This window comes from Homo sapiens, chromosome 9 (genome assembly GCF_000001405.40).
Source record: "Homo sapiens chromosome 9, GRCh38.p14 Primary Assembly".
Lineage (NCBI taxonomy): Eukaryota > Metazoa > Chordata > Mammalia > Primates > Hominidae > Homo > Homo sapiens.
Genome location: NC_000009.12, coordinates 65,153,229 through 65,169,082, shown reverse-complemented (window position 1 = coordinate 65,169,082; position 15,854 = coordinate 65,153,229). Strand labels below are relative to the sequence as shown.

The window sequence follows — 15,854 nt, the reverse complement described above, 5'->3', positions numbered from 1 at the left end:
GAATAAGGGTGACCCCGTTGTGATCTGAGCATTATAGGATCATAGTAACTACAACCAGTCTTCCATCATTCCATGGAAATTGCATGTATGCCACGTTGCCTTCTCAGTTTCCAAGGGACCAATTAATGAACAGGCTACTCACATTTTCAGCATCCTACTCCTGACACACTCCCACCCTTCTTTCTATTTATCTGTGATTCATAGAGATTTGCCTATGACTGGATTCCTGAGGAGAAAAAAGTCTGGATTACAGATGGCATTCCTTGTTATGGAAGGCCCTTCCTTCTGAAAGTCTATTTCTATCATGTTCTTTCCCTGTGCTGTCAAAGGGTCACCCCTTTGTACAAAGGAGAAGAGAAATCCATCAAGTAAATAAAATTTCATTTACCTTTGTAAAAAATATTTCTACCAATTCACGTGGAGGACCTTATGGTTTGGTCCGATAATCAGAGATTTGAAAGAACCTGATATTGTTGGCCAGCAGATTAGAAAAGAGTTATTAGAGAGAGATGGCTCAAGTGATAATAACTGTGTGCCTTGTGAATGCTCACCTAAACCAAAGATCACTGAAGATAATGTATTTTACCATAATGTTTTAATCTCAGGTAAATGCCAATTAGGAGACAAACACTTGTTTATCTCCTGATTGGTATTGATCTGAATTAAGCTGTCTGCCATTTGGAGAAATTTAAATGCTATTTTAAACACACAGTCTTGTTACTTGAGTTATTTATGATCTTAAGCGGCTCCCCCCCTTTTGTGGGTTAGATTGTGTCTTCAAAAAGAAAATATATATATTAGAGTTCTAGCCCCTGATGTCTGTGAGTATGACTTAATTTGAAATCAAATTATTTGCAGATGCTGTATAATTATGATATGCTAGATGAGCTCATAATGCATTAGAGTGGGCCATAATTCAATATGGTTGATATCCTCATAAGAAGGGAAGAGGAAACAGAGACGCAGGGAGGAGATGGCAATGTGAGGATGGAGGTAGAGAATAAAGTGAGGTATCCTCCAGCCAAGCAATGACAATGAAGCTCAGTGATCACCCGGTGCTAGAAGAAGCAAGAAAGGATTTTTTTCCAGGTCATTCAGAGAAAAATGCAGCACTGCTAACTCCTTCATTTAAGATTTCTAGCTTTCTGAACCGTAAAAGAATAACTTTATCTCATTTTAAGCGACCTAATGTGAACCACTTTGTCACAGCAGATATAGGAAATTACACCTCCTTAAAGAATGCAGAATCCTGGCCCGTGCTTGCCTCATACCTATTGAATGAGAATCTAAGGGCTCTAGAATCTGCATTTTGAAACTAATACATAATACACAAAGAGAACTCACTAAGTACTCTACATGCACTTCATCCTCACAAGCCATGAAGTAGTTTACTATTATAATTCTCATTTTACATATGGGAAACTGGAGCATGAAAAGATTAAGTAATTTGCCTACAGTCACTCACATAACCAGAAAGTGGAAGAGCTGGGATTCAATCCCAGTTCCAGACATCCTGATATCCTGGTTTCAGACACCACACACTTAGCAACTATTACACACTTAGCATTATTATTATTATTATTATTATTATTATTTTAATCACCATCTCCACCTTCTTAAGCACTCAAAAGTTGAAATCCAGTGGTGTGTTGCTGTTTCCATTCATAGCAAGTTATAGCCAAAATCATAAATTACACTTCCTCCAAAACAGTATACTGACTTCTCATCTCTTTTTAAAATCCCTTCCGTCGTTCTTTTCTTTCTTCTCTTCTCTTTTCTTTTCTCTTTTCTTTCTCTTGCTCTGTCACCCAGGCTGGAGTGCAGTGGCATCATCTCGGCTCACTGCGACCTCCACCTCCTGGGTTCAAGCGATTCTCCTGTCTCAGCCTCCCAAGTAGCTAGGATTACAGGTGCCCAACACCATGCCCGTTTAATTTTTGTATTTTTAGTAGAGATGGGGTTTCACATCTTGGCCAGGCTGGTCTTGAACTGCTGACGTCGTGATCCATCCACCTCGGCCTCCCAAAGTGCTGGGATTACAGGCATGAGCCACTGTGCCCAGCCTCTTTCACCCATTGAAATCTCATTTCAACAATTACCATCTTTTTTGAGTGGTATTTTTGAAGTTATAAATGAATTCCCTATAATACATAGTGAGAATATTTATGGGAGCTTCCTAATTGACTTTCTAAACATTCTGCATTGCTTCTCATTTCCTTCTTTAAATTTCCTTCTACCTTGACTTCCTTAAGACCACTCAATGTTGGCCCCATGCTTTCATTTTTTTCTTTTTTCTTTTTTTTTTGAGATGAAGTTTCCCTCTTTTCACCCAGGCTGGAGTGCAACAGTGTGATCTCAGCTCACTGCAACCTCCGCCTCCCAGTTTCAAGAGACTCTCCTGCCTCAGCCTCCCGAGTAGCTGCGATTACAAGCATGTGCCACCATGCCCAGCTAATTTTGTATTTTTACTAGAGATGGGGTTTCTTCATGTTGGTCAGGCTGGTCTCAAACTCCCAACCTCAGGTGATCCGCCCGCCTCGGCCTCCCAAAGTGCTGGGATTATAGGCATGAGCCACAATGCCCAGCCCATGCTTTCTTTTTAATAACTCCTTGCTGCCTAGTTTTTTCATGTCCACTGTGTAACTACTAGTCTTAATGGGTATTTCTTTTCTTACTATTCTGCACCAATGTTTCCCTGATTGACAATAGTTTTCCTGAAATGTATTCTTGGAATGGAATTGTATGATACGCTTAGAAAATTCTGCATACCTTATACTTCAGAATGTGTATGTAAAAGACTCCAGTAAATGATCCAGGGAAGCAAAAATATTTGTGTGTTTTGCGAGTTGTATTCATATGTGTATAAAATTCCCACAGCACTTTGGGTAACAATGCTCTGCACACTTTTCCTGTGCTCCTTTTATCCATTCCCACACTTCCAGCATTTCCTTTGACGTTTGATTTTCTTTATTTTTTTTTACTCCAATATTTTCCTGTAGGTTTCAAACCTATATTTTAAAATATCAACTGATTCTCTCCCTCTGTCTTCACCACCTGCATCTCAAATTTGACATAGCCATAAACACATTTTATATTTTGGCAAATAAATCTATTTCTTTTAAAGCATTGCCCATCTCAGCTAATGATGATAATATCAAGCCAGTCGCCAAGAAAATTTAGAGTATTTATACCTTGACTCTTCCTTCTAAATGAATTATTAAGTTCAGCTGTTTCTACCTTGAATTACCTTTCTATTCTGCCATTTCTCTTCTGTGTTGCTGCTAATGTTTTAATTTAGTTATTCATCACATCATGCCTGTACTGCTGGAATAATCTTGACTATTCTTTCTGACTTTTTCTTCTAACTGCATCTCAAAAACTTCTATCTAGAATGAAAATAAGTATATATATATACTATATATACATATATGCATATACACTATATGTATGTATATAGTATAAGTATAGACATGCTATATACTATATATACTATATATTTATATACACACACACCCACTATGCTTTTAAAAATTGTTTACTTATGTCCCATCATTGAAGGGTAAAATACAAAATCACTGATATTGAGAGACATTCTCCTCAATCATTTAACATTGTCCTTCACAAACCTGTGCTGTAGCCACACCCAGAACAGGTTATGTTCCTTCAAAGACACACACACTTTTCTATCACTCTCCTTTTACTCCTTCTATTCCATCTGCTTAGACCATTTTTTACTTGTTTTCTGTCTATCTCCATTCATTTTTCAGGATCCAATTAAAATATTGATACAAAGGCTGAGATCTTTATATCTTCTCTTATTTAAATTCCTGGAGCACCAGATAACTTCCTCTATTATAATTCTTACTGTATACAACCATAACTCTCATTTGAAAACAATGAATACATAATTATAAAATCAGATATATCATAAAATGATTGGTATCAATATGTGAAAAAAAATCTTTAATGTTGAAAGTACAAGATTACAAGCCATCTGAAAGTAACTGAACATCAATCAGAGAAAAATGCTCATCATTTTTTGATGAAACCAAAAGTAAGAGAATTTGGTATTAATCTACTACATCATTGGTAAATTACATATTAATTATTGTGAGAAAGAAATAATTGACGGAATTTAAAGAAAATCGGTTTTCCTTTATTTTTATTATTCTACCTAAAAGTATTATATCTAATTAAAATCATGATTTTAAAATTATCCCATCAAGTATGTCATCACACTAAAATCCATTGTATTTAATTTCTCAACTGAGAAATTGTATTCAATTGTATTCATTTTCCCTACTGAAAAATTAATATAAAAGCAATCACATAGCATTCAGAAATTAATAAATATTTAAAGAAATTAAACAGCATTAGATTTTCTTGTTGTAAAATTTTTTTCTTCTCTCAGTATGGCTTATGTCTCTGCTTCTATTGAACATAGCACAATTCAAGTATTAATACAGCACCTTTATAAAAGTTGTGAATCTCAGAAATGAACAAGCTTACCTCCCTAGTTATTTATTAAAAGTTACAAGTCACTTTTTTTTAACTTCCTAATAATCTTAGAGGGGTATATTTTGTGTTTTTGTTTGCTATATCTTTCATAAAGAAGATCCCTAATGATTTGAAAGTTAGAACCAATTTTCTGAAGGATTGAGCCACGCTCCTTGAAGTTGTGTGTTTGTGGGTGGCACACTATGTCTTTTGCAGACCCGGAACCTACCCCTTGGTCTAGAACATATTTTCCTCCACCTGCCTTTTAAGTTTTTATTTCAGCAGGAGTGGGTGGTTTGTGGTTGACCGAAAATAGAACGGGCTACAAAAGCCCTTCCTGTTTGATATTGAATCTGCTATTTGAGTCACCCTTACATTATGAACTGACTGTTAATTAACACATTTGGTAAGAGAATATCCTGATCTGCTTTGCATGTGAGGCTCTCCCAGTAATAAACAAAGAAGCATAATCAAACAAGATTTTAATTTCTCTATGCCCTGTTAGAAATTCAGATATAATTCAAGTCATCTTGGAAATTTTAAGTTGCATTCTGATGTCGTCTCTGTTCTGGCCATTGTGCAATGGGCCTTCAAATGTTGTAGTAGAGGCCAACTGATATTCCATTGTTATTCATTTATACACAGGTACATATATGGTGTGTGTACGCAAATATATAAATATTCATATATGTGTACATGTGTACATACATACATATGGAGGTAATACAAGTTTGCATTGTTTTTAAAATTTTTTTACCCAAATTAACAATGACTCTATTGCATATCTTTATTGGTTATATCACATTTATATAAATAAATTTATATCAGTGACAATTTCCAAGTAAGTGAAATTTGAATTGGATTCAGGGTTTTATTTTTTTGAAATTTCTGATTAAAATTACTTGATTTTTTAAATTTTATCTTAAAATATTCAAGTCCCATTTGTAAAAAAAAAAAATAGAGGATTAAAATGAAGTGTGTCTTTATGAGTCACAAATTTTTATTTTACTTTACTAATTGTTAAAATAATATTTTTTCCATGAGGCATTTTATAATGCCCTCTTTATTTTTTTGGTGATGTATTTTTTTATTATTATTATTATACTTTAAGTTTTAGGGTACATGTGCACAATGTGCAGGTTAGTTACATATGTATACATGTGCCATGCTGGTGCACTGCACCCACTAACTCGTCATCTAGCATTAGGAATATCTCCCAATGCTATCCCTCCCCCCTCCCCCCACCCCACAACAGTCCCCAGAGTGTGATGTTCCCCTTCCTGTGTCCATGTGTTCTCATTGTTCAATTCCCACCTATGAGTGAGAATATGCGGTGTTTGGTTTTTTGTTCTTGCGATAGTTTGCTGAGAATGATGATTTCCAATTTCATCCATGTCCCTACAAAGGACATGAACTCATCATTTTTTATGGCTGCATAGTATTCCATGGTGTATATGTGCCACATTTTCTTAATCCAGTCTATCATTGTTGGACATTTGGGTTGGTTCCAAGTCTTTGCTATTGTGAATAATGCCACAATAAACATACGTATGCATGTGTCTTTATAGCAGCATGATTTATAGTCCTTTGGGCATATAGCCAGTAATGGGATGGCTGGGTCAAATGGTATTTCTAGTTCTAGATCCCTGAGGAATTGCCACACTGACTTCCACAGTGGTTGAACTAGTTTACAGTCCCACCAACAGTGTAAAAGTGTTCCTATTTCTCCACATCCTCTCCAGTACCTGTTGTTTCCTGACTTTTTAATGATTGCCATTCTAACTGGTGTGAGATGGTATCTCATTGTGGTTTTGATTTGCATTTATCTGATGGCCAGTGATGGTGAGCATTTTTTCATGTGTTTTTTGGCTGCATAAATGTCTTCTTTTGAGAAGTGTCCGTTCATGTCCTTCGCCCACTTTTTGATGGGGTTGTTTGTTTTTTTCTTGTCAATTTGTTTGAGTTCATTGTAGATTCTAGATATTAGTCCTTTGTCAGATGAGTAGGTTGTGAAAATTTTCTCCCATTTTGTAGGTTGCCTGTTCACTCTGATGGTAGTTTCTTTTGCTGTGCAGAAGCTCTTTACTTTAATTAGATCCCATTTGTCAATTTTGTCTTTTGTTGCCATTGCTTTTGGTGTTTTAGACATGAAGTCCTTGCCCATGCCTATGTCCTGAATGGTAATGCCTAGGTTTTCTTCTAGGGTTTTTATGGTTTTAGGTTGAACTTTTAAGTCTTTAATCCATCTTGAATTGATTTTTGTATAAGGTGTAAGGAAGGGATCCAGTTTCAGCTTTCTACATATGGCTAGCCAGTTTTCCCAGCACCATTTATTAAATAGGGAATCCTTTCCCCATTGCTTGTTTTTCTCAGGTTTGTCAAAGATCAGATAGTTGTAGATATGTGGTGTTATTTCTGAGGGCTCTGTTCTGTTCCATTGATCTATATATCTGTTTTGGTACCAGTACCATGCTGTTTTGGTTACTGTAGCCTTGTAGTATAGTTTGAAGTCAGGTAGTGTGATGCCTCCAGCGTTGTTGTTTTGGCTTAGGATTGACTTGGTGATGTGGGCTCTTTTTTGGTTCCATATGAACTTTAAAGTAGTTTTTTCCAATTCTGTGAAGAAAGTCATTGGTAGCTTGATGGGTATGGCATTGAATGTGTAAATTACCTTGGACAGTATGGCCTTTTTCATGAGATTGATTCTTCCTACCAATGAGCATGGAATGTTCTTCCATTTGTTTGTATCCTCTTTTATTTCCTTGAGCAGTGGTTTGCAGTTCTGCTTGAAGAGGTCCTTCACATCCCTTGTAAGTTGGATTCCTAGGTATTTTATTCTCTTTGAAGCAATTGTGAATGGGAATTCACTCATGATTTGGCTCTCTGTTTGTTTGTTGTTGGTGTATAAGAATGCTTGTGATTTTTGTACATTGATTTTGTATCCTGAGACTTTGCTGAAGTTGCTCATCAGCTTAAGGAGATTTTGGGCTGAGACAATGGGATTTTCTAGATATACAATCATGTCTTCTGCAAACAGGGACAATTTGACTTCCTCTTTTCCTAATTGAATACCCTTTATTTCCTTCTCCTGCCTGATTGCCCTGGCCAGAACTTCCATTACTGTGTTGAATAAGAGTGGTAAGAGAGGACATCCCTGTCTTGTGCCAGTTTTCAAAGGGAATGCTTCCAGTTTTTGCCCATTCAGTATGATATTGGCTGTGGGTTTGTCATAGATAGCTCTTATTATTTTGAAATATGTCCCATCAATACCTAACTTATTGAGAGTTTTTAGCATGAAGGTTGTTGAATTTTGTCAAAGGCCTTTTCTGCATCCATTGAGATAATCATGTGGTTTTTGTCTTTGGTTCTGTTTATATGCTGGATTACATTTATTGATTTGCATATATTGAACCAGCCTTGAATCCCAGGGATGAAGCCCACTTGATCATGGTGGATAAGCTTTTTGATGTGCTGCTGGATTCGTTTTGCCAGTATTTTATTGAGGATTTTTGCATCAATGTTCATCAATGAAAATCAATATATATCATAACAGCTCTGTAAATGTTTCTCTGAGTTCTGTGAGCCATCCTAGGAACTTAATTGAACCCAGGGAGGGGGCTCATGCGAACCCTTTTTTTTTTTTTTTTTTTTTTTTTTTTGAGATGGGGTCTCATTCTGTCTCCCAGGCTGGAGTGCAGTTGCAGGATCTCAACTCACTGCAACCTCTGCCTCCCGGGTTCAAGCGATTCTCCTGCCTTAGCCTCCCTGGTAGCTGGGCTTATAGGAGCCCGCCACCACACCCAGCTAATTTTTGTATTTTATTTCATTTATTTATTTTTTTGAGATGGAGCATCGCTCTCTCACCCAGGCTGGAGTGCAGTGACATGATCTCTGCTCACTGCAAGCTCCACCTCATGGGTTCAGGCCGTTCTCCTGCCTCAGCCTTCCAAGTAGCTGGGACTACAGGCGTCCGCCACCATGCCTGGCTAATTTTTATTTGTATTTTTAGTAGAGATGGGGTTTCACCGTGTTAGCCAGGATGGTCTTGATCTGACCTCGTGATCCGCCTGCCCCGGCCTCCCAAAGTGCTGGGATTACTGGTGTGAGCCACCGTGCCCAGTTTAATTTTTGTATTTTTAATAGAGACGGGGTTTCACCATGTTGGCCAGGCTGGTCTCAAACCCCTGATCTCAAGTGATCCACCCGCCTTGGTCTCCCAAAGTGCTGGGATTACAGGCGTGAACCACCATGACCGGCCGTGGATGTAGTTTTTAGCCAGGTAGTCAGAAGTATGCGTTGCCTGGACTTGGAATTAGTGCCTGAAGTGGGGCTGGTCTCATGGGATCGAGCCGTCAATCTGTGGGATTGGACACTATCTGCAGGTAGACAGTGTCAGGATTGAATTGAATAAGAGGACACCCAGTTGGTCTCTGTGAGAAATGTTTGGTGTGTAAGGAAAAGCCCCCACACAGCCAGCCACAGAAGTGTGCTATTGTTGAGTGTGAGAGTACAAGGGAAAAACAGTTTGCTTTTTTGCTTTACAGTGGGATATTTGATCCATAGGTCTATATCTAAGCACATGAATAGAATGTGTTTGGGCCTGGTTTTTTAGTCTTGCTGGTCAGTAACTAGTTTGACAAGAGAGACTAGCACACTGATCCCAAAAGAACTAGGCCAAGAGCAGATAGGATTTGTGGAAACTTGAACCTCTTATTAGCTCCTTAAAAGACGTACTTTTCTAGACTTCTTTGGAGCCTGGGATTCTAGTACTGGTGAGTTTCCACCGGCAGCAGACTCCCTGAAGATTTGCTAGCCCTCTGCAGGGTTGGCAGGCCACTACCACATTTAGTTGGCTCCTAGGGTATGTTCCACACCAGACTTCCCATTGTGGGAAGGCCAAGAGAACTGAAGAGACAGTCTCTACTCTGGAGGTGGGGAAGTGGGGGAGGTGGTAATTTAATTAACAGTAGGTGGTGGGTGAGGCGACTTGGTAAGGTAAGAGGACACACAAAGGAAGTAACTGCAGTAAACCTTAGCTGGCAGCACAAGTGAGGAGGTGTGCTTGAAAGAGAAATGGAGTGTCTGGAAGTGGGTGAGTATATTCTGGTAGGTGTGACAAAGGCACTGTTCCTCCAACACCAGTCCTGGGAAAGGCATATGATATGGTTTGGCGCTGTGTCCCCAGCCAAATCTCATGATGAATTATGAGCTTCAGTGTTGGAGGAGGGGCCTGGTGGGAGGTGACTGGATCATGGGGGTGAATTTCCCCCTTGTTGTTCTCGTGCTAGTGAGTTCTGAGATCTGGTTGTTTAAAAGTGTGTGGCACTGCCCCTTCACTCTCTCTCCTGCCGCCATGTGAATATGTACTTGCTTCCCCTTTGCCTTCCCCATGATTGTAAGTTTCCTGAGGCCTCCCCAGCCATGCCTCTTGTATAGCCTGCAAAACTGAGTCAATTAAACCTTGTTTCTTTATAAACTATCCACTCTCAAGTAGTTCTTTACAGCAGTGTGAGAACAGACTAATACAACATGGGATCCCAAGTAACTATGCATTCAGAGAAGAAACACAGGTATGTTTGGGAACTGGATGATGGAAGGTACAGGGAAGCACTGTAGGTAACTTTCATGGGTCCTACACTCTACAACATATTCTTGGGGTTGGAATGAGTCAAACAGGAGACTGATGTCCAGGATGGAATTGGCTGTTTATGTTCCCAGGTGTAGGTCTCTTCCTTAACAGATCACGGTAGCTTCATTACAAATGGCCTGGGAAGCGTACATAATGCAGAAACCCCAGCAAATTCTTACAGGGGTTAGTCATGCAGTTATACATTTTCATTCTGGGATTTCTAGGGGCTTAATAAAATTCCTTCATTGGATCATTTAATCCAACATAAATTATTTCCCTACACCTACTTTATACTTGCTCCCTGATTTCATACCAGTGAGTATAGCCTGATGTAACTAAACATTCTGAATTTTCAGTGATACCCAGAGAAGAGTGTGATAACCAATTCTCTCAAAAGCGATTTACTGCAAATATTTTCATTTACAGTAAGTCCTTACTTAACATTGTGGATATGTTCTTGGAAACAGTGACTTTAAGCCAAACGAGGTACTGTGTGGCTTCATAACTCAACTCTTTTTCCTATCAATTAGACTATGGGAAAACTGGTTTCGTATGCATTATGTCCTTTTGCTTAAAGTGGTAGTTTCCAAGAACCTATCAATGACATTAAGTGAGGACTTATTGTAATCTGATATCTGCGGGTGGATAATTTAAGGAACACATACATAGTTAAGCCTGTAAACTGCTGCAAGTTCCAGATATTATCAGTTCTATTTCTCCACAATTACAATTCCAGTTTTGGGGTTTCTTTTTGCTCATTAAATTTGAAAAGCCAATTCCAGTTTTAAAGCTTGACCCTTTTCTTATAACTTTTTTTATAACTGATAATATATCAGTTATATCAGTTATATTTCTTAGGCTTCCCACGAAACCCTCAAACTGACTCTGAGGGTGGCCTTGCTATCTAATTTACAAAACCGGTTATCTTGGTTTGTGTTCATTTTATTTCCCTTGCATACATTGCTTAGCTGCTTCTGATTATATGCCTCTTAGCCACGGCTGGATAGAAAAGTGTAATAAGAGAAAAGTGTAACTAAGAGACACAGAAGAAAGAGAAATTCCATGAGCACCAGATACTTTTATGGGTGCCTTTTGGAAGCTCTAAATTGAGATGTATCTTTGTTGTCAATTTATGCTATGAATCCAAACGAAAAATGGGGGGAGAAAAACAAATAGGCTGTAGATGAAAGTGGAAGAAGAAAAATGAGTCTATATATATATATATATTAGCAGTTGTATGAAAGTATATGAGTCAATATTCCATCAATACCTAGAAAAATAGTAGATCAATATGCTGATTTTAGGGGTGGACACAAAAGTGTTATAAGTGTCTTTTAACTTTTCTTTTTTCCCTCCTTGACTCTGAAGAGAAACACCATTTTTTCTACGTATGCAAAGAGTAAAAATTCAGAACTAACATGCAGGGATTAATAGCAGTGAATTGCAAACTCAACTCAGTGGTATAGTACCTGGCAACATTATTACTCAGCATATTTCCCTGGCTGAGGCTGACTTCATTTAAAGTAGTTTTATACTTTTGCTAAAAATAAGTGTACATCCCATTAAGGGAGAAAAGATCTTCTACACAATGGATTGGACCTACATAACCTTATGTACCAGAGAGGAAAACATCATTCTCATGAGTCGCAAAGCTTTCTTCTTCTTGTCAATATGATAAACAGTTTCCGGAAATTGAGAATGACGCTGGTTACTTTCCTTCCTCCTGAACATGCCACACTGAAGAGACAGGGATGACTCCTTCCCTATGGGACAGACACACATGTAGCTTTCCCTGGGTTGTGGAGGAAGGCATGGCCACAACACCATTGGCAGTCTGCTGCAGGGACCTCACGATGAGAGGAAGCAATGGATGCCTGGGCCAGGGAAATGCATATTTGGGAGAAAGCAGGAAATTCTGATGTAGAGATAGGGAAGAACCCTGGGGAAAAGGACCCAAGCTGGACGGGGAGGAGGAAACCACCAGGATCCCAGGATCAGAGACAAAGGACCCAGGGACACAAACAAAGTGAGGCCAGATGGAGAGGGCAGGCTCACGGGGAGAGCAAGCTCACAGGGAGAGCATGAGCCAAACCTGGCTTATTTCACACTCATCAGAGAGACTGCACAGTTGGGGCCAAACCAGGGCCCAGGAGCATCGGAGAGAGGAGGGCCATTTCAAAGACTTTTGTAAAATAAGCTCAAAGTTTCTTTGTTTATTTGTGGGTGTGGGAGTGGAAACGTAGGGAAAGTGAAGAAAGTGGGGGAAAAGGGATGGGTGATTTTGTAGGCAAGATGCTCCCTGAGGAGGTCCTGGTGGACCTGCTGTGGGGAGTGGCATTCTGCACACTCTCATATCATGGGGAGCGCATGACTACATTACTGCTTACACATCTCCAAGTGCAGCTTGGGGGGTGAATGTTTAATTGTCTCACTGTAACTGTCTAAATCTCTGGAAAATGTGAAGGGTCATGCATTTGATTTAAACCTATGAGGTCTGAATGAATTCTCCTCCATGCCTAACCGAGTGAAGCAAGTATATAACCAACCATGCATCCCTAAGCAGGGCCGGTATGAAAGGGAGGAAACGCCTCCCCACTGAGCTCGCAAAGAACTTCATCACTGACCTGAATCAGATCCAGCAGGAAATGAAACAATGAGTACATACTTTTACAGTAGAGGGAGGGGGACGGAAAACAAAGTGAGCTGAACTGAAACGTGAGAAAGAACAGAATGGCAGTGAGTCCACGGGGCAGGGCCGCAGCTTTCTTTCTTCATGGCCCTCAGTCCAGTAACCCCACCCGGCATTCGTAGCGGGTGACATCATTGATGCCCAAACATACTCCAGCAATTTCCTGCTTTCCAGAGTCCAGCCGAGCCATGATGTCAGTGGTGCACCTGGGTAAAGATATGGCAGGGCCGGGTCACAGGGAGTGGGGACAAAGGCCAACCCAGTTAAATAAACTGCTGGTCTTCTAGGGCCTGGTCCCTAGGCAGGCTTCCACCATGAGATAGGTATAGCCCAGGCCAATCCCAACAAGAGGAAAAAAAGCATGTACTTGGCCGGGGGCGGTGGCTCACACCTGTAATCCCAGCACGTTGGGAGGTTGAGGCGGGTGAATCACGAGGTCAGGAGTTTGAGACCAGCCTGAACAATGTGGTGAAACCCTGTCTCTACTAAAATTGGAAAAAATTAGCTGGGCGTAGTGGTGGCCACCTGTAATCCCAGCTACTCGGGAAGCTGAGGCAGGAGAATCGCTTGAACCTGGGAGATGGAGGTTGCAGTGAGCCGAGATCACACCACTGCACTCCAGCCCAGGCAACAGAGTAAGACTCTGTCTCAAAAAAAAAAAAAAAAAAAAAAGAATGCACCCATGCAGTGCCTCCTGTCACCCTCTGCCCAGAAAGGGCACAGGGGCCAGGGTGAAAGAGTTACAGGAAGACAGAGGGAAGGAAACCATGCAGACATAACCACATGGGGGCAGGCCCTAAGCTGCTGGGACCTCCACAGTGTATCCCTTTCCTCCAACTGGGAGACGGAAGCACCGATGGTCTTTCTCTACAGTGCCAGGAGCCACCCTGCCCCCAGAGATGCCCTACAATCAATGACTACCATCTAAATGCTTCTGGATAGTTTCATTCCTTGTAGATGATATTCCAAATATTATAATTTGTACTTCTCCACAATTACAATTCCAGTTTTGGGGTTTCTTTTTACTCATTAAATTTGAAAAGCCAATTCCAGTTTTAAAGCTTGACCCTTTTCTTAAAAGTTTAACTTCTCTTTTTATTCAGGCTTCCCACTAAACCCTCAAACTGTCTCTGAGGGTGGCCTGACTAATTTACAAAACCGGCCAGGCTGCCTAACCCCTAGATTCCAGCCCAGAGTGTTGCCATAAATTGCTGTCAAGACATGCCTCTATGTCCCATGTTTGCCAGTGAGAAAAGGGTTCATATTCTAAGTTCTTCAAGTCTCTCTCACTGCCTCAATGTGAAGTCAATGGAAAACAGTCAAATACACCAAAAATTAACTTCAAATGGATATCTGCTATGAATTCCAACTTGGTTGGACACCTCTCCAGGCCAACTGTTGTGAAAATGCATTGTTGTTTTAAAAAACACTGTGAGAGATGGCTGGGCGTGGTGGCTTACTTGAGGTCAGGAGTTTGAGAACAGCCCGGCCAATATGGTGAGACCCCAGTCTCTATGAAAAATATAAAAATTGAGCCAGATGTGGTGGCATGCACTTGTAGTCCACGCTACTTGGGAGGCTGAGGTAGGAGTATCACTTGAACCTGGAAGGCGGAGGTTGCAGTGAGCCGAGATCATGCTACTGCACTCCAGCCTGGGTGACAGAGCAATACTCTGTCTCAAAAAAAAAAAAAAAAAAAAAAAAAGAGCGAGAGAAAACACTGTGAGAAGAAAGAAGTCAATCACCCCCTCTCCAATGCCCAACACAGTAAGCAAGAAGGGCCCAGGAAAAAATTAACAGGGAAAAACAATCTTGCATTTGCTTAGTTGAATCTGGGGTTTGCACACATTAGTCAGAGCTAGACAAATCATACTGAATACACTTCTTATAGAAACATTCTAGCTCTTATGGCCTTTCCTTGCTGTCCCAACTTTTGAGGTGCGAAAACACAGCAACACAGCCAGGACCGGCCAGGTGATGGCACGGAGCCCGCTCCCACAGGCTGCGTGTGTGTTCTCACTCTCTTGCAACTGGCCTGAGTTAAGCCTTCTCCCCAAGCACTTGCAGTTTATCATCGCCCTATTTACTGTATTTTCATGTTATAAAAGTGATATACACCCAACGTAGTAATTTGATCTATACAAAAAAGAGAAGAAAAAAAGCTACTCATAATATCACTGTCTAATTTAAGGTTTTGGTGTAGTCTTTCTAGTCTTTTTCTATATGGAATGTAATTTACTTCTCAAAAATATCATTTCATATACTTTGCTTACATATTAGCATTTTTGTCATGAAATTTATGCCAACTGATTAAACAGCCCTTGTAAATTACAGAAACTTAAAGACAATATCAAAACAATGTGACCACAAGACAAAGACCACCTACTACTAAATTATTTTTGGCATGAGATTATTTTTTGAGAAGTTTTATAAACTATTAGGTTTATTGAACACTATAAACTGTAATCCTTGAAAGAATTTTGGAAGCATACGATAACAGGGTAATTTGTAGTAGAATATAGGGTTGGAAAACCTTAAAAAACACTTGCTCATTTCTTCCTATATCAAAGATTTGTATTAGAAAATCTATTTCTTACAAAAAGATGTACTAAGTGGTATTATGTCAGTCAAGCATCTTGTATTATTTTCTAGCTTTCAATAATATGTATAATGTCATAAAAAAGAGAGAAGAATACACAAAATACATATGAAGCTTACTAGGAATGAAGAAAGTTATTTTAGGAAGGAAAAATTGGTTACCATCAAGGAATATGGAAAACACTAGCAATGCATGTAAGAATGACCTCAAAGGTCTTAGACGTCCACGAGCTGGGAATGCTTGTGCTGGGTGCTTCAGTTACAACAGCATGGGGAAGTTAAATAGACTAGTGAAGCTGTTACATCAGTTAATAGTATTTATTATTATTTGTGGTCACCAATGCCAATTAAGACAGTAATTAAATAGAACATGATGAAATAATTCAATGGTAGGAAAAAAAAATCTGGCCTACAAGTGAACATGGAAAGTAAAAGTAAATA

The 15,854-nt window shown here is 39.6% G+C and overlaps 1 pseudogene across 2 annotated transcripts in view; it reads right to left on the bottom strand.

Annotated features, from left to right (window-relative positions):
- The window catches only part of LOC105379443 (methylenetetrahydrofolate dehydrogenase (NADP+ dependent) 1 like pseudogene), a 42,107-nt pseudogene that overhangs the window by 16,082 nt on the left and 10,171 nt on the right, over nt 1-15,854 (bottom strand). The window contains exon 4 of one of the 2 annotated variants that reach the window (NR_160671.1): nt 12,310-13,021. The exons of the other annotated variant lie outside the window; for it this stretch is intronic. The product of NR_160671.1 is annotated as a methylenetetrahydrofolate dehydrogenase (NADP+ dependent) 1 like pseudogene, transcript variant 2 (transcript). Of the gene's footprint in view, nt 1-12,309; nt 13,022-15,854 lie in introns of those variants that run through there. 2 annotated transcript variants of the gene reach the window in all.